The sequence below is a fragment of the Homo sapiens genome, chromosome 7 (assembly GCF_000001405.40).
Source record: "Homo sapiens chromosome 7, GRCh38.p14 Primary Assembly".
NCBI classification, from domain to species: Eukaryota; Metazoa; Chordata; class Mammalia; order Primates; family Hominidae; genus Homo; species Homo sapiens.
Window position 1 is genome coordinate 44,377,182 of NC_000007.14, and position 21,265 is coordinate 44,398,446.

A 21,265-nucleotide genomic window follows, 5' to 3' on the forward strand; every position below is an offset into this window, starting at 1 on the left:
CTCTTTGGATCTCTACTGGCCTCTCACACTGCAGCCAATGTCTCTGGTCTATCCACTCTGTCCCCACCCTGCTCCCTAGGTGCCCACTCAGCCCTGGCTGGCAGCTTTGGGTGCTGGTCTTACATCCCAAGACTGATGTTCTGCTTCCTTGGGGCGAAGGACAGGGCAATCCCTGTGAGGGGGTCAGTTCTCAGAGAAGAGATGGGCCTAGCTGACCCCCAGCTGGTGTCTTCCTCACAGTTGAGTGCATGCTTCTCAGGACTTCAGTAGAGGATTCCACTGAGCTGGGTGAAAATGAGTTTCTCTCTGTCCCCACATCATTCCCCTTTCCATGTTCCTTCCCATGGGGCTCCAGCAGCAGCCTCTGCTCCAGTCAGCTGTGGTTCTCAGTGTCCACCTGCCTGTCTCTCTGGTTTGGGGACAGCGTGTGCTGTGTGACTGTGATTCTCTGATGGATCTGAGAAATGTGGATTCTCCGCTCAGCGGTTTCGTTGTTCAGATGGGAATCCCTTCCATGCTCCCGACTGTCAGGGGCTCCTCCCAGACGTGGTGGAGGCTGGAGATGTCAATGCTAGCTGGGGAAGCAGCCAGGGGCTCCCAGGCTCTGGACTTGGGTGACCCTGTCCTGAAGGTTCCTGGGAAGGGGGAGAAGGCAGGTGGGATGTGGAGGGTTGGGTTGTATCTCCACCTGGGTATTCTCCCAGAGTCAGCAGCAGAGAGCTCCCAGGTAGAGTGCCAGGTGGCCAGACTTCTGTGAGGGGTAGGCACTACCCAGGCTGAGAGCCAGGAGGGGCCAGAGATGCTTTTGGTGGGATCAGTCCTTCCTGCTGGGCCCATGGTGCTGGGATTCTCTCCAAGGGCTGCAGGCCCAGTCTTGCTCATGGCACTCACTTTCTGTTCTCCATGCAAGCCGGATGTGAGACAAGAAACTCAGACCATCTCAACTGCTTAGTGCTTTCTTCCCCCAAAGCCCTGCGATGAGGAAGTGGGCAGTGGGATAGACTGCTCATTTGGTTGTCTGACAGGTCACGAATGGGCCCACCTACAACACAGGTGGCTTGGGTGCTGCCACCAGCCACAGCCAGGAGAGCAGGTCTCTAAACCTGAGGGAACAGGCCTTGGGCACAGGCAGACTTACTGGGGAATCTGGGCTCTATCCTGGGAGTAGAGGCAGCTTCTATCCCAAATGCCTGCCCTACAGCCCTGCCCTGCCTCTGGGAAATGTGCCTGCCCTACAGTCCCACCCAGATGGGAAATGTAGGGGAAATGCAGCCTGAGTCTAGGGACTCATGGTGGCCTGAGCAGAGAGTAAGGAGTGATCCTCAAGTATGCCCCCCACCTTGGAGGACCAGGAGGGTGGAAGGGGAGTTTAAAGTGCAAAGACAGGCTCCAGGCTGGGAGTTCTGGAATAAATACAACTTGCAAAGGGTTGTATTCAGAACATTCCTACAAGTCAACAATAAAAGACAAACAGCTTAGTAGAATAAATGGTGAAAAATAGAAACAAAATTCACAGAAGGAACCTGAATGCCTAATAAAAATATAAATGGGAGTTCAACCTCACCATGACAAGGGAAATGCATGGGCAATCCAACTTTACACTCAGCATGACTGCAAACATTACAGAGTCCATTAAAATGGTGAGGAGCTGAGCAACAAGACCCACTCGCAGGAGGGGTACAGAGGATGCCCTGTGACCCCGCAACTCCACTCACAGGAAATGCCTAGGGAATCTCTCACACTTGAGAATGACTGCTGCATTGTTGTAATATTGAGAAATTGGGGCCAACCTAAGTACTCACCAACAGGATGTTGTTAAATAAACTGTGATATCTACTCAATGGAATATCACACCCCACCTAGGGGAGCAGAGGAGACTGTGTATGGACACAGACAGCTCATGAAGGTAAGGGAGAAAGAAAAGCAACTCACAAAGATACTGATTTATACGGTTTACAAATACACGTACAGTGAAAAATGACACCATCAAGCCAGGCACAGTGGTGCACACTTACAGTCCCAGCTACTTGGGAGGCTGAAGCAGGAGGATCACTTGAGCCCAGAGGTTTGAGTCCAGTCTGGGCAACACAGGAAAAACTCTGTCTCAAAAAAAAAAAAAACTTTTAAAATGACCATATCATGGAAAATTCTGGAGAGCAGTTATCTTGGGACAGAGATGAGGCAGTTGGCGGGGCGGGGCGGGGTGGGGGGGAACAGGGGACAGGGGTGGTCACAGGAGTCCTAGCTGCTCTGAAGTCGTGAGTGGGGACAGCAGAGCCTGTTCAGGAGGCTGCTGACTGTCCAGGGCTTTGCTGAGTGCCTGGCTCTGCCAATGGGAGGTTACCAGCAGGAGAGCCTGGAGTGTCGAGGAGTCACCACGGCCCTGCACTCAGTTAATGCTCTACTGTTGCTGTCTGGATATCACTTGACTTTTGGGTGTGGTTGGTGTTGCTTTAAGTTTCTGGGGATAGCAAAAGCTTAAGAAGTGACTCTTGCCATCACATGGCTGACCACCTCTGGTGAGAACACTGGAGAATAGTTTAGGGGTGCCCGAGTTTCCCCCACTGCATAGAGCCTGGTGCCAGGGAAGACAGGCTGGACCTGGCTGTGGCCCCTTGAATGGTGGCAGGGAGACCACAGCACATCGCAGGGCCCTGAGGATGACGTGTATTTGAGGGGGCAGGGTTCTCCAGTAGCAGGTGTTGCACAGTGGGGAATGGTGGGTGCAGAGCTGGGTTAGTTTTAGCAGAGGTGTGAAGGTGATTCCTCTCTGAGCTGGAGGTGGAAGCAAATGGGAAAACGGTCTGGCATAAACAGACAAGCCCCGGGGAGGCAGACAGCGTCCACCACTACCAGGTCCACCTGCTTTAGGTATACCTTCCTACCAGGACATGAGAGCCCACAGTGGCTGGGGTCTTGTCATCAGGCACCCTGAATGCTTTCAGGTGGATGGTTTGGATCTCTCCTCACCTGGCTGGTCAGGCCAGGGAGGACAAGCTGTGGACCTAACAGGTGACCACTGTCCAGACAAGGCCTATTCTACCTCCTTGCCTGGCTGTCCCCTCCTTAGGCCTGTTGCCCCTTCCTCTCTAGACCCTCTGCCTGCCAGGTGTGTAAGCCTTTCTGCCTGGACAGCCTCATTGAGACAGCCCTAGACTAACAGTCACCCATATTGAGCCCAAGCCCACCCTGCATGATGCCAAGCTTAGAAATGTCACCCTGGAGTCACAAAATCCCTTCTTTGCATTACCAAAAGAGGTGGTCACTCAGGGGTGCTGGAATCTTCCCCACCTTAAGGCTTAGCTCCAGTCTGTAGCCCATTCCCTGACAGGTACCTGGGTTTCCCAGCCTTTGATGACCCCAAACGCTGTCTCTTCCCTAAGGGTCACTGCCTTGGGATTTGCCTGCAGGCTAGGCACACCTGGTAAATGAGGTCTCCACACACTGGGTCATTAGTACCCACAAGCAATCACTGTTGAGTTCATGAACTCTCAGGCTGGAGCTCAGCAGTCCCACTAGGGACCACCACTGGGGTCACAAGATGGCCTTGATCCCCAGTTATCTGGATCCCCAGTTCCCTGAACCAGAGCAGCTTCCTAAACTCCCTAGTCCAGCAGAGGTTAGGGCTCGCTTTCCCTGCTAGAGGGGCCTCCTCCAAACCCCACAGTGCCCCAACAACACTTCCTGTCCTCTGGTAGACCCTTACCTGCCTGTGTCTTGCACAAAGTGCACACTGGGAGGCAAGAGCCTGTCTCTGCAGTAAGAAGGGCTTGGGGCAGTGCTCCGCTGGCAGGCAGACAAGGCAGGCAGGGCCCCAGCCCAATGCCTGAGTCAGCAGGCTCCTAACAGCCTGAGTGACCTCCTCATAGCATGGGGTCAGTGCAGCGGCAATGTCTGGGTTGTTGAGGGTTTTGATGGGTGATCAATGCTGGAGGATCCTCCCTCTGCCTTCCCCATCCAACACAGATCATCTCCAATGTGCCAGACCTGTGCTGGGCAACAAGGTTGGCTGAGATGGCCTGAGACAGGGTCCCTTGATGAACAGTCCACTGGGAATGGGGCCTGCAGTGGCCCTGGATGATTTCAGTATCTGCCACTCACCTTGGTCATGATGCCACAGAGAGTGTGGCATGGCCAGGACTGTACCTGGGGCAGATGGTCTTGCTCTTTGGTTCTGGGGAGGAGCGCAAAGTGACTGGGCTCAGGTGAAGGAGCTGTTGGCTTATGAGGAGGCTGCTCCAAGAAGCAAATAGGAGACAAGGAACCACTGGCCTGCAGATGGGGCAGGATCCTGGACCTGGGCCCCCCGAGTCACCAGCCACATGGCCTTGGGAGTGTTACTTACTCCTGTGATTGTAGCACAATGAGGGGTTAGACTACAAAGTCCCTCAGGCCCTGACCAGCTCTGGGGAAGAAGGCCTAGGACTGAGAGAGGCAGCAGGGAGGCTGGCCAGGGTCACCTCCCAGGTCCAGGCAGCTTTCCTGCAAGTGTTTCCTAAGCTGTCCTTCTCCAGGGAGAATAGCCTCAGCCCTGCCTGACAGGAGGCGGCATACACCTGAGCGCCTGACAGTACCCTCGTGAACCTGCCTGAGGGTGGCCACATTCCCACACCCCATGTGTGCCTATCTCCATCAGCACTGAGAAGACAGCAAACGCCAGCTTGCCAGGGGTTTACCCAGAAAGCCCAGCGCATACCCCCAGAGTGTTCTGGCAGACCTGTGCCAGCTGGGTTCAGTGACAGTTCATCCTGCCATGGGCTCTGGTCTCCCCATCACCCTCTGAGGGGGAAGCAGGAAGTTGTGAGGGGTAGCCGGGCCTGACCTCTCTTCCCTGGCACGATGCTGTCTCCCTGTGCAAAGTGGGGACTTCAGGCATTTGGTGTGGAGGAATGGGTGGTGGGATTGAAAACCCCTACCAGACCCCTGTCACACCAAGGAGCCCAGCGATGGGGGGGTTTCTTCCCTCCCTCTGAGGTAAGACCAATCTGTTAAACTTTCAGTACTAAAAAATAAAACCGAGTGGGAGGAAGGTGAGGACTGAAAAACTACATATCAGGTATCATGCTGATTACCTGGGTGACAAAATTATCTGTACACCAAACCCCTATGATCCAATTTACCCATGTAACAACCCTTGAACCTAAAGTTGGAAAGAAAAAAAAAGGTAAAATTAACAAATCCATATTAGTGTGAGCTGGGTGAGTAGTTTAGTCTGAAATGACAGAATATTCATTTTTCGTCTCTCTGAGATAGTGACCACACTGTCCTCACCAGGACTGGCAGGGGAAGCCCCAGGGCTTTGTGACCCTGTCCCTATGGGGCACCCTGGCGTCCAGTGGGCACTCCCCAGGGCAGCAGCCTGGTTTAAATGCCTGTTCCCCAGACCCCACAGTCAGACGGTAGAGAGGAGCCTCAGGGACATAGCCCAGTTCTTCAGGACCGTGGGCCACATGGGCTGCTTGACCTCTGACCACCAAGGAGGGAGTTTCTCAAGGACTGGCCAGGTTCTGTGCTGACAACTTCGTGCTTTTCATCGACAAAGCGAGTCATGCTGTCCCTTCCCCAGCTGAGCTGGCTGCCAACAGGCCCAGTGGAGAGCAGATTTGAGGTGGGGGTGAGGTCTGTTCCCCAAGCGCAGTGTTCTGGGCAGTGAGTTCTCTGTGCAGCAGCTGACGCCTCTTGGACACATTTCCACACAAAACACTTCTCAACTGTTCTCCCTCCTGCACTCTTCAGGGGCAAATACGCCTCTCCTTTCTGGCGGGTTATTTCTGGCCCTGGGAGTATGCTAGGCAATTCTAAGGATTGCCTTTGAAACAGTCTTTATTCAGCCAAGTACTTCTCACACCCCTAGGTCCTGTCCCCAGGGGTGAGCAGGGTCAGAGGAGGCTGGAGATGGGGTGGGCACAGAGAAGGAGAGTCAAAGATCTGACTGAGGAAGAAGCAGGTGGCCAGCCACCTGGGAGACTTCTGTGTCAGACACGGCGTTATGTCCTGGAGGAAGCCCATTGCGAGGGCTCAGCAAAGTTAACAGCAGGTATGCACCTGGAGACCAAGGAGGGCCTTGGAGCCTGGTGGGCAAAGGTGGCCCTTCAGTGGAATCATTCCCAACTCTGCACTCACCCTAAGCTTTCCAGTAACTACAGAATTCCAGAACCTGTTTGAAAGGATGTAAGATCTATAGCTACATTCTTTTTCTCCCCACTGGTCAAAATCTTACAGGATTTCTAAAGCTGTATTGAGATCTTGCCCAGTGCATTCAGACCAGATGGGAAACAACCCCTAAGAATTCCCCATGCTGGTGTTTGCTGTGTACGTTGGCCTGGGACCTCAAGGCTAGAATGCAACAATAATGACCATGCACAGACAGAACTGTCTCAGCAGCAAATGTCACACGCAGACCCAGAACTGCTTAAATACCAATTTATTGCAAACCAACACCAAGGAGCTGGAATAGCTTTGCAGGCTGGACACCTCACTCTCCTCGGGCCCTGGACAAGGGAAATGAGTCACCCCGCTTTCCTCGGACCTCAGCTGGTGGGACTTAGTGGCTGGCCAAACTGCGGCTGTTGTGTCTAAAAAGAGAAAACAGGCAGGGTGTGCCAGCTCTGGAGACTGGGCCAGTCCAGGGTGGTGGCTCAGGGCAGAGAATCACCCACCAGACAGCGTGGCTCAACGGGAGCAAGGCGCGCAGGGACAGGCTCCACAACCACACCAAGCACCGCAGTGTGGCACCGGGACCAGATGCAAGTGGCTGTTCCTGCCATGGGGCCAATACCCAATACTATCCCTCAGTCATTCTTCCTAGATATTGGTTTGCTGTTTATTAAAGCAGGGCAGGGAGTGGGGAGAAATGCAACACAGAATATAAAATCAGGCAAAACAAACACTAGTCACCATGGAAGTGAATGACTCTCAAAGTCTCCCAAATAACAAGGTGTAGGGCATCTCACACCACTGCATCACTTCTGGAAGACTACCCACAGGGTGGGGGCTGCAATGGGGGCCAACTCGGGAACTATAGAGAAGAGAGGAGACACACACCACAAGACCTCCTTTCATTAGGCAGGAAAGCTCTTGTGGGACAGTGGTGTGCAAATCCTAGGACCTCAATGGGAAGAACTCCAGGAAAAAAAATGACAAGTCTTTCTCAGGACCCCTCATAGATGACAAGAATTCTGCTCCCCAGGGTCGAGATCTCTTTAGAGGGGCTTCACCAGCTCAGTGGCAAATATCAGACAACAAGACTCTCACATTCCAAAGGGGGTATCTAGGGCCTTTTGCTCTCCTGTGATGATCGGAGCAACATGTTTGGACCCACAGAAGACTTCCCAGGAATGCTTTCTTACAAGGGGTGTCAGCCACCACTGTAAACCAGAAACAAACCACAAACTTACTCTCCAAGAGAGCCCCCACAACCCAAGTATCCATAGAGAGTGTGCAGGAGCGGGGACCTTCCCCTGACAATAGGCCCTCTTAGCATCTGCGGGCCTTGATTCTTGCTGGCCGTGCATGGTGCCAGGGTGCACTGCCCTGCTGTGTGGCTTATCCATGCTCTGAGCTTGACAGACAGGCAAATGGACAGTGCCGGTGGCAGCTGAACCATACTCCCGGCGATGGGCACCCAGAGCCCCTGTGAGTACTTGGAACACAGGCCTGAGGACCTGTCTCATAATCTCGTCTTTGCACCTTGGCTGGAGTCAGTCAGCAGCCATGGCTCAGGGCATAGGCTTGGGGGTCCTGAGGCAGTGACCAGTCCCTGGAGAACAGGTAAGATTGGGCCATAAGTTCCAAGGAGCACAGTCTGGCACCTGGCACAGAGGATGGGAAGAGGGGAGTCTTCACTCTCTTCTGGTTCAGTTGTGGTGGGACAGTGTGCCTTCACGCCCCATGCAGAAATTCCTCCTCTCCCAGAAGCCCTTCAAGGTCAAAGCTTCTCAGGACTTGTGGCTGTCGAGCTCTGCTGAGCTGATGGACATGCTGTGGTCTCCTCCTGAGGGCACCAGCTCTCCACTCCTGCCCACACTTTGACACCGTGCACCCAAAGAGGACGTCTTATGGGGAGCCAAGCACAGCATGCCATGCGTGGTGGCCGGGCTTGGTTCACTTCAACAAGAACCAAAGCAAGGTCGCCACAGTCAGAGAACAGAATCCCCGCTGCATCTGGACCTGAGCCCAGAACCTAGGCTTTCTCCGAACAACTAGAACGTGCAAACAGGGCTCCAGTCTCCACTGCTCTGACCATGAGGCTGAGGCAGGCAAAGCACATTTATAAGGGGATGAGCAAGAAGACCACGTGAATGCTCTCAAAAGAGGTCAAGGGGCAAGGAGTTTCCCAGAGCAGCCTCAGGCACAGCCATTCCTTGCTTGCCCTCATGCAAGCACAGAGCTTCACACACTTCAATGACTTCAGCTTCGCCTGAGAGTCCAGCAACAACTCCACATCCCAACCAGAAGACATGCAAGCAGAATAGCGTCAAAACAACAGCAAGCAGAGAGCAGGGGAGGAAAGACATGCTGCCTGCAGTGGCTGGTTGCTGTGGAGACAAAAGCATGTGATCCCAATTTGCTGGGATATCCTCTCCTGCATTTCAAACACCTTCACTCAGTGTCAGCCACAGCGGCCACCACATAGCAGCTGGCCCCGCACCTTCTCTGGAACAGTCTGGAGATGCAAGGTCAGGGTGGAAGGCCTGGTTCACCCTTGAAAGAAAGGATGGCTAGGGGTAAACAAGACGAGCAAGTCCCTGGAATGCAGGGAGCCAAGAAGGGCAGCCGAGGATAAGGCTCTGCCTCCCCACCGGCGAGGGTTTCCTTTCCTTCTGGTCATTAAAACTGCACAGCCCCCGGGGAGATGTTGAACATGGCAGGGTCGAATCGCTGGCCTCGGAAGGGAGAACCTTCAGCATCCCACCCCTTCTTCAGCATCTCATGGACTTTCTACAAACAGAAAATAGAGAGATTAAAGGGGATCACAACGCACTGTGTACTTTCTCCCAGAGCAGACTCTGACTGCAGGTAGAGAGCCTTCTTGCTTCCTCAGGGCTCAGGCACTTGCCTGGCAAGACCGGCTGGCCAGAGAACTGTACTACCCTGGAGCAGCCTTCGACCAAGGGAGGTACTGGGTGCCTGCCAATTTCTCTCCAAGACTGCTCCACAGACTGAATTTCTAACCCTCCATCTTCTGTCCCCAGCAAGCACTGGCTCCTCTTTATGGTTCATCTTGTCCCTTTTCCACCAGGATCTCTGTCCAAATTCCAAACACCCTGCAACATCTATGGTCCCACCAGGCACTGACTAAGGCATTAAGAGGGAGTGTCCCAGCCCACCAGGGTTGTAGAGAAGGTGCGTAGAGAAAGTGCTCAAGCCCCACCTGAGTCATGACTAAGGTGTGCAGAGGAGATACCCTAGCACCCCAGTTATCAGCATCAAGAACTATATCATCAGACAATCCAGGGTTGACCCAGGATGTGGCACGGAGGAAGAAACCTCAGAATGTCCAGTGGTAGACCCGTCAGTCAGGAATTCCCCACTGCATCCTTGCAGATGCAGTCAGAGCTGGTTGACTAAGCCCTCGCCAACGTGTGGCCATTCTGGAACTATCTAGCCTCCAAGGATCAGAAGCAAGGCTCAGTGTGTGGCCATGGCAGGGGACATCAGGGAGATTGGACCCTGAGGGAAGCATCTGTACCTGGGCTGGCAGGCCCTCTTCTCCTCAAAGGGACTCTATATCTGCCCTCCTCACCTGGCCACCATGAGTACACTGAGGGCTAGGGATGATCTCTCCTTCCTTCTAACCTTCTGACCACAAGAGACAAAAGAGACTATGTAGGGCCAGTAGTTATTCTACCAATATGATCCACAGTCCCTGTTGCACAAAACCCTGTAGCATAGGCCCAGAAAACGAGGCTGTGGGATTCTCAGCACCAGGGCTTCTCCTTAAATAAAACATAATCTTCCTAACAAGAGGGTTTTCTTTTTCCTGTTTTTATTTTTTACAGATAGGGTCTCACTCTGTTTCCAAGGCTACAGTGCAGTGTGTGGTCATAGCTCAGTGCAGCTTCAAACTCCTGGGCTCAAGCGATCCTCCCACCTCAGCCTCCTGAGTACTTAAAACTATGGGTGCAGTCCACCATACCCAGCTTCATTTTCTTTTTTTAAGACCTAAGTGATGCAACAACAAGCATATCAAAGACAGATACTATATACTAGGGATTAATTGACATTACTATCAATTTCTTACAGGCAACTCACATCAGAGACTTTGGAAAGACCATTTTGAGAACAAGTGCTGCAGCTCACATGGAGTGGCTGTGGGTGCAGAGAAGACTACATGAAGCCCCTCTGCACAGCCTCAACAAAACACAAGAATGGATGACTTCAGCAGGCAGCTGCATGAAGCCTCTGAACCTTTCAACAGAACCCCAGCCAGCTGTAGGGCAAATGACACCTGTGGAGCCCTGCAGCCACCACAGTCTTACCCTGGGAACCCGGGTTGCTGCATGGGGGCCCGATGTAGGATGCCCAGAGTGCAAAGGGCAGATTAGTAGACTTGATCTTACAACAGAGGGATCCTAGGGTGCCAAGATCAGCACTCAGACCTTTCCTGAGGCAAAAGTGGAGAGCAGGCATTCCTGTGTGTCACCAAATTCACTCTTATGACCAGAGACCATGCTAATGCTATCTGCCTATGAGATGTCACAATTACTGTTAGGGTGAATCCTACCAGGCTGAAGAGATCCTAGACACAGACACATCTGAGCGCAGACAGAGCAATGGCACCTGTACATTCCACATTCTCTTTCTAGATGGGGGAATCCTGCTCATAAAAAATTAAATTAGGGAAAAGATGAAGGGTTTTAAATTTGTTGACTTTGGAAAAAGGTTAGTGACACCAAAGAATTTAAAACAATAAAAGTATTGTCATTTCAAAATAAAACTGCTTCAAAATACACAGCATCTGTGGCATTAGAAGCACAATTTGAAATCTTGGCAAATTTAGAAAACTCTGAGTTCACACCATAAATGGGCATCAATGCCAGAGCACGCTGGTAACTGTGACTATGCCGACGTGAACGGCAGATGGAGGCTGACAGGAGAACCTGGCCCATTTTCCACTCTCTCTCCTTAGCGAAGCCTGGTGATCCCAGTGAAGCAACTCCGGCCCCCTAACTCTCACGATAGTCTCTCTGCCTGTGAGGTATCCCTCAGGACGCCTGAATAAAATGTGGCTAACCTGCTACATGAGGCCACATGAGGGCACACACCTACCTTCTAGGTGTTTCCTCATTTGATTTTCTAAAAAAAGGCTACAGTCACTAAGGACATTTTACATGAAACCTCTGCGTGTTGCAAGCCTCCATATGCTGCAGACCCTGCCCCAGACACTGTCATGCCCAGGAAGGAGTTGAGACTTTAGCATCAGCACCAGGCAGGTGCCTGGACACACACAGTGAACGACCATAGCCCTGAGAGGTCAGTTCATTACTGTCTATAGCTGTCACCTGAGAGCTGGAGGCTCCCTGGCTGTTGAGGAGCAGGTCAATCTCAGGGAGAGGGTCACTCTGGGACCTACCCCCGCGCCACCAGCCCTGGGCTCCTGCATGTCGCTGAAGATCTCCCAGGGCACTTTACTCTGGGGAGGGACACACATCCTCTCAAGGGTCAGGATGCTGCCCCATGGCAAGTCTACAGCAGAATAGATTTAGATTCAACACACAGAGCTCTTTCCACTGGACCACAGCATCTTCAAGGTTCTTTGAATCCTTCCTAACTGGGTCGCTGCCCAGTCTACGGGCTCCCCCATGCTAGGTCACAAGAAGCTGTTTGCAGGCACAGGGACTTTCTGTTCCACGCCTGGGCTATGCAGTGCCCTAGGGGCCAAAAAAACAGCTTGCCAAGAGGACACCAACAGGATGACCCCACTGAATTGCCCTCAGAGCAGGGCAGCAGGGCATGAAGGGGGATGCCAGTTGCACCCTATGATGCTGCATGTGTGCAAGCATGTATGTGCATGGTGCATACATACAATGTGTAGTGCTGCCATCTTTCACCCCTTGAGGTTGGCCTGTCCCGAACTGACAGTGAGGATCCAGGTAGGGGTTTGAGGTCCAGAACTGCCTGGAAGTTGCCTCGGCTTACCTGGAATGAACAGACCTCCCCATTCCTGGTCCTGGGCAGTGGGCTTGGCAACAAGCCATCAAAATAAGGAGGCCGGCCGGGCGCGGTGGCTCACGCCTGTAATCCCAGCACTTTGGGAGGCCGAGGCGGGCGGATCACGAGGTCAGGAGATCGAGACCATCCTGGCTAACACGGTGAAACCCCGTCTCTACTAAAAATACAAAAATACAAAATAAGGAGGCCTTAGGCCTCCAGAAATGGAGAGACAAGAGCAGCTGCTTCCTGGGGAGGATTATCAATGAAACTGCAAAGCAGGACTGAAATACTCTTTGGAGAAGGTAAGATTAAAATGGCTGGAATCCTAGCACCACAAAGGCAGATCTGTGTCTGTCTTCCTCACCGACGTGCCCCAATAGAGGGGTGAGACTATGCAATGTTACAAGGTGTTGGCACAGAACATAAAGGATGGGGGAAAGAGACTGAGAGGAAGGTCAAGGAGAGGGGAGGATGTAAGGGAAAGAAAAGGGAAACAGAAAGAAAGGAGGGAAGGGGAGGGGCAAGGATGTAGAGAAGAAAAGGCTGGTGGAGCCCCTGACACCTCCATGCGTGTCTTTGGCACTACTGGCAACTCCAATGATGAGCAGGTATTCCTGCTATTTTGTTTTTGAATATAAAGTTCTGTAAGAGATACAATCACAGGAAACATGAGGGCTCACAGATAAAAACAGCCAGAGCATCCTAGCTTCTCTCATGCCTCAACAGCTAAAGTCTACAGAAAACTGGCCAGGCGTGGTGGCTCACGTCTGTAATACCAGCACTTTGGGAGGCTAAAGCAGGTGGATCATCTGAGGTCAGGAGTTCGAGACCAGCCTGGCCAACATGGTGAAATCCCGTCTCTACTAAAAATACAAAATTAGCTGGGCGTGGTGGTGTGCGCCTGTAGTCCCAGCTACTCAGGAGGCTGAGGCAGGAGAACCGCTTGAACCTGGGAGGCGGAGGTATCAGTGAGCTGAGATCACACCACTGCATTCCAGCCTGGGTGACAGAGCGAGGCTCTGTCTCAAAAAATTTAAAAAATAAAATAAAATAAAGTCTACAAAAACTTCATCAAGGCTTTGACAAACGCACAAATACCATTCAAACTACAATAATTTTTATCATCTCTCTGTAACAAAGGCTCAGTGTCAGTGTCTGGGGAAGATGTGAGAAACCACCTGACCTTAGTCCCTCCATCCTGTGGCACAAAAAGACACTTCTAAGGGGTACATGGTAAGACTGCCTTCTTATCTTTCTGGAACAAAAGGCATCTGGGTTCATGTTCTCCAGTCAAAACAGACTCTTTCTCCCGAAGGTCAACTCATGAATACATCTCAGTCCTTTTGTGGACCCAATGCTGAATATGGGCACAGAGTGGGCAGACCCTCACATACACCATCCCCAAACACTACCATGAGAAGCCCTACCCACAGGGCAAAGGTTCAAAGGCTGGCCTTTCATCTAGTGGCCACAGGCAAATGCAGCATAACTGGAATGAGCCATAACCAGGCAGGTCTGGCTGTCTAAGCACCTGAGCTGAGCTCAGCTGAGCAGGTGCTGCAATACTACCTGAGGCTTCAAACTCTGCATGGACGTAGGCCAAGCAAAGATGTCCTTTAAGCTTGCCATGCCCCGGGTGGAAAAGGGGGCCAAACCTAGAGGAACATTCTCTTCCATAGAGACAAGGGCCAGGGTGGACAGGGCTGTGAGGACAGACAGGTGTGAAATCAAATCAGAGGTCAAACCCCATCCCTGCTGCCTAAGCTACTGAGTCACAACCTCAGAAATTCAATCTCTCTATTGTGGGGGGAAAAAAACAAAAACAAAAACAAAAAACAAACAAACTGTATTTTCAGGGGTACTGTGCAGCCAGTCAACCCCACCTTAACTGTGTGTACTAAGTGCTCAGGACATGCCCCTGGTGTGGCAGGGCCAGGTGAGGAGAACATGTTGACACTCCTCTCCGCAGGCTCCTTCACCTCATAAGAGCAGGATGCACCTGTCTGTGAAAATAGGCAAGAACGGACGAGACACAGCAACAGGGCTTGCAGAACCACCTACGATGTATTAATACGTGCTGTACCGGAAGGTAAGACTAAGACAATCCAGATACACCACAAGGTAAGGTTCCTCCAAGAGACAAAATGAGAAGAAAATATCGATCAGCGATCTTCAGGGGGAGGAGGCGGTCCGTGTTTACAGAACAAAAATAAGGAGACTGTGCCCAGCAGATGACCCCTCCCCACTGACTCAAGGCTGCACTGCGTCCGCGTGCCCTGCTGTACTGCGGCCCAAACCCACGTGCTGGGTATATGGGACACGGGAAGTTAAAAATAATCTGAGGAAAGCAACCCTTTTTTCCCTAAATAGCTACTCTTGGAGTTATTAAAATAGGAAGAAAGAATGTATACATCTAATTAATCATTCTCTTTGGCCATGAGCAAACTCTACACTGGGCACTACACTGGTCAGACAGGAACCTTTCTCTTCCTCCTCCCTAACCCACTGCTGACATCACAGAGTCTTCACATGCTGGCCTCCAACATCCAGAAACTGGCTCTGCAATCTGGCTCCCTCCCCTCCTCTACCAAAGGTCCCACCAAGCGACTCTTCATGGGAAGATATGTGCAGATGAGGCACAAACAAAAGCCATCAACACACTTGATGTTACCAGGCTCTGGTGCAGGAAGGGCAGATCTCATGACACCCTTCGAGGTCCTGTTAACTGGGCTCTCAGCCCAGGTATGAGAACACAGCTGAAAGACCAGAGTGCACCTGTGAGGCAGTGATTGGGGACAAGAGCAGGTAAGACAGGTTCCTTGCTAGGCTAGGACATGGCAGGAAGCTGGTCCACACAACCTTCTTCCCCACCGTCATCACCAACCCCTCTGCCACTATCGGCCTTGTCACCAGCACAAGGGCCTAAAGGGTGGACTCTCCAGGACTGCCATGCTCGTACCAGCTCATGGCTCTGTGGCTTGCCCTGCAGCTTCTGGTGGTAGTCAAAGGTAAGCCTGTCCAACACCGCCTGTTCCTCCTCATCCACGGTGGCCATGGAGCGCTCCTTGTTGATCTTGTCAATGTCGATGGGCTCTTCTCCCTCCAGGATGGCGTTCCACCAATACTCGCCCACCTTGCTCAGGTTCACCTGGGGACAAGCAGGACAGAGACCTGAGTCAGAGACCTGAGACAGGTGTCCAGGGCTGGGGACAGAGCAGAGCCCACTGAGGGATGGGTGTCCAGGATAAGCTCAGGACCAACTACACAAAGGGAGGTGACAGACAAGAGGGGGTGCCAGAACCCAAGGCAGGACCCTCTGTGCCTGGGAATGCATTTGCTGCCTGTGCTAACATATCCCAGGGAAGAGCTAGGAGGCACATACCTGAGGGGACTGACATTCTGGAAGATGCCTTTATCCTTCTTCAGCAGGTCCTGGATACTCAGGACAGTGCCTGTTCCATGTGCACACCTTGCCCACTCTCATGAAGAAAGGCTATTTTCCAAGACCCATGACACCCCCCCACACCAGGACCTGTCCTGGGCCAACCCAGCCTGCCCCCATGCTTGCCATGGAAGGCTCTGCTTAGCTCTTATCAACCAACTACCTCTCCAGTGATCTCTCTTGCTTCCAAGAGCAACATCCAACATTCTGCTATCTTAGGGGTAAGCTGGGACCTATGAGACTTAGGGCTCAGCCTAATGCATGACAGAATCTCCTGGGGAGTCCTCACCCCATGACAGGGCACCATGCCCTGTCCCCACTTCTTCCTCACTGGGGCCAAGCTTGCTGCATGAGGGGGTCCTCCAGCCCCATTCCCTAAAGTTCTCTGATGGCTTGGGAAGGAGAAACGACCATCAAGAAACAACCCCAAAAGAGGCCTCCTTGGGCACCTCTGTGGGGATGGCACAGACATCCCTTGGTCAAAGGAAGCAGCACCCAGCATTTAAGATCCAGCCCTCAGTGTTGGGGTCTGTGAGACTCATGTCATTACCATAAAAACTTAAAAGACAACTGGAACTGCAGTATGAGAGCAAACGTGAGGGGTGCTGTATGTACCTAGGTGACCCTGGCTGCTTGGCCTGTCCCAGGGACACAGAGGAGGGCCCTGGCCACACCATGCCCTGTTATCAGTGGTCATACAGACACAGAAAACAAGAAAACTGGCTGCATCTGCTGTGGTCAGTGGCTGGGCTCAAAATTCTTACCAGAGTGGCCAAGAAGCAACAGAGTGGGTTTGTCTACTTTGCCCTAGATGAGCACTGCACTTTTTCAACAGAAATACTTGATCTGTGTTTAGATTTCATAATATTTACAATTGAAAGAGGTACATTCACATGCCCAAGTGTGATGGGACTCTCTGATGGGATTAAACCACTAGGTGCTCACAGAAAGGGAGAAAAGGTAGCAAAGGGCCCGCAAGTGAGAGCAGCTCTCATCCATGGAGGTGGCAGCCACCAGGACACTTACTGACCAGGTGGGCAAAACCTACCAAGCCACACTCAGGGTAACTGTGACACTCAAGAGGTCACAGTGAGTCCACAGGACACCACGTCCCCCCAAGAGGGAGCACTGGAGACTCACCAGTATACACGGGCTTGAGAGAGCAGTGTCCTAACACTGCACCTTCCACCTTCCCACCTCCAAGCTCCTGCTGCCAAAACCTACCCACACCAAAGAAGGTACTCAGCACCAGACTCTGCAGAGCCCAGGGATCAAGTCCGAGAATGTGTTCTACTAATGAAGAGGGTGGGCACCGATGTGGTGCGGGAGAGCACACAGTGGAGATTTTCCAGAACTGGGAAGAGCAAGACAAAAACCTGCAATCATGATCTGAAGCCAGCATCCCAGAAATCTTGTCTGACATTCCGAATGCAGATAGGGGGAGTGGTGAACAGGGGGAGTGGGTGGCTCCCCTACACGCCAGCTCTACCCAGTAAATGACGCTGCTCTGCCAGTGTGCAATTTAAATTTGGGATGAATCTTCCATTTCCAGATACTCTGCTAAGCTGGTTTGTCGTTGACTTTACAGTTTGTGTGACGGGGACCTGACTCACCCTCAGAGACCCCAACACTACAAACTCTACCTCGTCTTTACCAAGCTGATGCAATGAAAACCTTCCAAGAGGGAAATGCATTGTTTTCTCTATTCCAGGGAAGACTTCAGAGGAACTCACAGAACTGTAAATCTCTGGAAAGAAGAGATCCTTTACGAATTTTTTATCTTCACCAGTAGTTATTACTGTGATCCATGTAACTTATTTTATTAGCGTTCACAAGTCCTGTAAAACACATACCATTACCATTTACCATACATACCATTTTTTGTATTTAAAAATGAGGACAAACCCTTGGAAGTAAGGGCCTTTTCCAGATTGCCCAGCATGAAGAGGCAAAGCAGAGCTACACTGGGGCTGACAGCCCACCATCAGCACCATGTGGGCAGGGGGTCGGCCTACATACCATCCAGGGGACGGTGCTGGTGCTCTCAGGCCTTTTGGCACTCCACAGACCCCAACACAGGGTTTCACTGGCCAGGTCCAAACACACACCCAGAGTGGAGGGCTCCTGGGCACAGTGGGAGATGGACCTGAAGACAATGAGCCACCTGCCCAACAGGAAGGAGGGGAACATCCCCAAATCTTCTGTGTCCACAAGTGTACTTTGGACACAGAAGTACACTTGAACCCAACAAAAATTAAGATGAGCACTGCACTTTTTCATCAGAAATACTTCATCTGTGTTCAGATTTCATAATATTTACAATTGAAAGGGTATATTCACATGCCCAAGTTGTTTCAAAAATATTCAAGGTTTTCCAGTAACTAAATCAAGTAGGTTTTAAATTTAAGTTAATTAAAATAAAATAATTCAGTTCTCCAGTCACGTGAGCCACCTGTCAAGTGTTTACTCAGCTGCCACATGTGGCTAGCAGCTACTGTGCTGGGCAGTGCAGCTCTCCAAGGGGGCCATCCTCACTCACAGACGTCACGCATGTGCATCAGTGTGGTATTTTATGAGGAGATGTGAGCCGACTTTATATTGAACAATTTCTAATGGAGGCAAAATCCACTTAACACAAAACTTACCATTCAAAAGTGAACCAATGGCATGTAGTATATCCACAATGGTGCACAACCATCACCTTTATCTAGTTTCAAAACACTTTCATTACCTCACAAAGAAGCCCTGTGCCAATTATCAGTCACTCCCCATTTGCTCTAACCCTTCCTCTAAATTGTTCCCTCAACCCCACCAAGCCACTGGCAACTACTAATGATTCTGCCTCTACAGATTTGCCGGTTCTGGACATTTCACACAAATGGAATAATACAGTTATCTGTTTGTTTTTGTCTGGCTTATTTCACTTGGCATAATGTCCTCCTCAATGTTCATCTATGTTGTAGCATGAATCAGAACTCCATTCCTTTTTAAGGTTGAATAATATTCCACTGTATGGATAAACCACATTTTGTTTCATCAACTGATGGACATTTCAGGTGCCCCCACTTTTTGGCTGTTGTGAATAATGCTGCTATGAACATTGATGTACATACATCTGTTTGAGTCCCTGTTTTCAATTCTTCTGTATATTTACCCAGAAGTGCTGGGTCATATGGTAATTCTACAGTTAACTTTTTGAGGAACTACCATACTATTTTCGAAAGCAGCTGCACCACTTTACCTTCCCACCAGCGGCATACAATGGCTCCAGTTTCTCCATACCCTCACCAACACTTGTTATCTTCTGTTGTGTGTGTGTGTGTGTGTGTGTGTGTGTGTGTGTGTGTTTAATTACAGCCATCCCACAGGTGTGGCTAGCACCACTGGTCCTTTGTCCTGACCATATACACACAGGCCTGCCTCCTCTGCCTTCCAGACCTGCTCCAGTCAAGTTTCCATCTGTCATCACTGTAACCAAGTGGGCTGCCCTCCATGCTGGGGCAGCAAACAGGACCTGAGGTGTTGTCTATAAAGGTTCTTGTAAAGGCTCTGGAAGAGGAAGGTCTCAGTTGCAAAATTTTAATTATTTATTTATTTAGTACCCTTAGAATATCTTCTATTTTTAAGGATGAGCATATTAGTAAAAACAATATGAACAATATTATTAGCATGATAATTATTCTAAACAAGGGCATTCTAACATCGTTATTGACTTGCCTGGAGTCCCTCTCCACACTGTTCCTTTACAGAATTCCATCTCTCACTCTGAGCTGCAGATCCCCATTCCTTTCTCCTTCCCAAACTCCAGACCTTTTTTTTTAATGGCCCACGCCTCGTAAGTCATTGAGCTGACAAGCTTCTTTATGCTCTGAACATTCTCATGTTCTATAAACTGGTTTAATGTGTAAATGTTTCTGCTGTCACTGTCCACATTTAACTACTTTCCTTAGAGTAATGCTTCTGGGAGGCCTCAGATATGACTTCTGGTAGTTAACCTTAAAAACCACTGAATGGTACAGAGCATACAGGTCTTGCAGGGCTGTCTTCCGACACCCAGTGCAAGATGCAGTTCTGGGAGGACATGGGTACAATGTTCCTAGGATGGAGTTCAAAGACCTCTATCTAAAAATAACACCTCTGATAAAGTAGTCTGATGGTTTTACATTTGTTTTTGTTTTTTTCTGTGAATATTTTATTTTTTTAAAGTCAAGTTTGTGGAGGTATAGTATGCACATAGTAAAAATCACTCTTTTGAGGTCACATCTCCATGAGCTACTGCTACAATCAACCCACATCCCAGCAGCCCCGTTCCCCTTCTCAGCAGTCCTCTCAGCCCGATGCTCGTTTTGCCATCCAGCATGTCCGTGTCCAGAATGTCACATGTGTGGAATCACACAGTGTGCAGCCCTGTATCTGCTGCCTCCTTTGAGTGTGGGGACTCTTGACGCTCAGCCACACTGTGCTTCATGGCACAGGCAGACCACACACTTGTTTGTGGACATGTGGGCATTTCCATTGTTTTGCAATCAGGTAGAGAGCTGCTGTAGAGATCTGCCTGCTTTCTATTCTCCTTGGTAAGTAGCCAGGAATGCGTGTGTTGGGTCACGTGATGTCAGCTACTGTCCAGACTGACCACTCTGCTGCACCCCTACCAGTAGCACAGAAGAGCACCAGGTGCCCCATCTCATTTAGCGCTTGGTGCTGTCTGCCTTCTTAGCAGCTCTTCTAAGAGGTGTCTAGGGGCATCTCATCATGGTTTTGCCTTGCATTCCCCTAATGAATCATGACGTTAAGCTTCTCATGTGCTTATTAGCCTTCTCATTTTTTTTAACATTTTATTTGTAAAGAATTTTAAGCTTAAAGTTACTAGAATAAGTACAAAGACACCCATACAAGTGTTTAGCAGCTGTGTGTCTGTACACAGCTCTCTCACTCTATATGTATGCTGTATGTATAATATATAATAACATAGTATTTTCTCTGAATCATTTAAGAATAGGTTGCATTCATCTTGGCCCTTTGTCCTGAGTTATTTCCTAAGGACAAGGAAATAACTTATGATGATTTACGGAACAGGGTCCAGTCCAGAGTCCTTCCTGCATCTTGGGGGTCCTGTCCTCTTTAATCTAGGACATTTCCACAGCCTTTTTCCTCCCCTGACATCTCCTGATTAACTCATGTGTGCACACCCAGCTGGACACACATGTGTTCCACCTGCAGGCACACAACATCCACAGCCCTCAGTGGGTGGGGTGTTCACTCAGGTTACCTGGCCAAAGGGAGGTCTGACTTCTCCACTGTAGTTATTGACTTGCAAACTCTCCTCTCCAGAACCCCTGCATCCCTGCTCCACCCTGCCCCGCATAGCATCTGCCGGTCCCATCTGTCCCACGAAGGCTGGGAAATGCTGACTTTCTTGCCCTAGTCCCTCCACACTGACTGATGGCTTATGCATCTTATTGAAGCAAGCACCTTCTCTTCTGCAATGAAATTATCTATCTATTGCTGTCAGTACTGACCCCTGGATTCCTGGCCTCTCTGGTCTCTCAATGGCTTATAACTCATTACCATGCTTAATTATGTTGGTGTGAAACAATCCCAGACAAGGTTGGTGGAGGTTGCTTGACTTTGATGGTGCTCAATCATTTCCCTGGCACGTTCTCATTT

At 50.6% G+C, this 21,265-nt stretch overlaps 1 protein-coding gene across 2 annotated transcripts in view, besides 1 other annotated feature; it reads right to left on the reverse strand.

Moving 5' to 3' along the window:
• Positions 798-987: an enhancer, noted in NCBI's record as "active region_25940". NCBI's record gives its function as "activates an Ori minimal core promoter by ATAC-STARR-seq in GM12878 lymphoblastoid cells {active_cell/tissue: GM12878}" and the evidence as "EXISTENCE:reporter gene assay evidence [ECO:0000049][PMID:35858748]".
• NUDCD3 (NudC domain containing 3) overlaps positions 1,938-21,265 on the reverse strand; it is a 111,540-nt gene continuing 92,212 nt past the window's right edge. The window contains exons 5-6 of one of the 2 annotated variants that reach the window (NM_015332.4): positions 15,116-15,304; positions 1,938-8,940 (exon numbers count right to left, since the gene is read on the reverse strand). In NM_015332.4, coding sequence (NP_056147.2) covers positions 8,830-8,940; positions 15,116-15,304 — 300 coding nt within the window. In that variant the 3' untranslated portion in view covers positions 1,938-8,829. The remainder of the gene's footprint in view (positions 8,941-15,115; positions 15,305-21,265) is intronic. The other variant, XM_011515247.3, reaches the window with a different exon arrangement.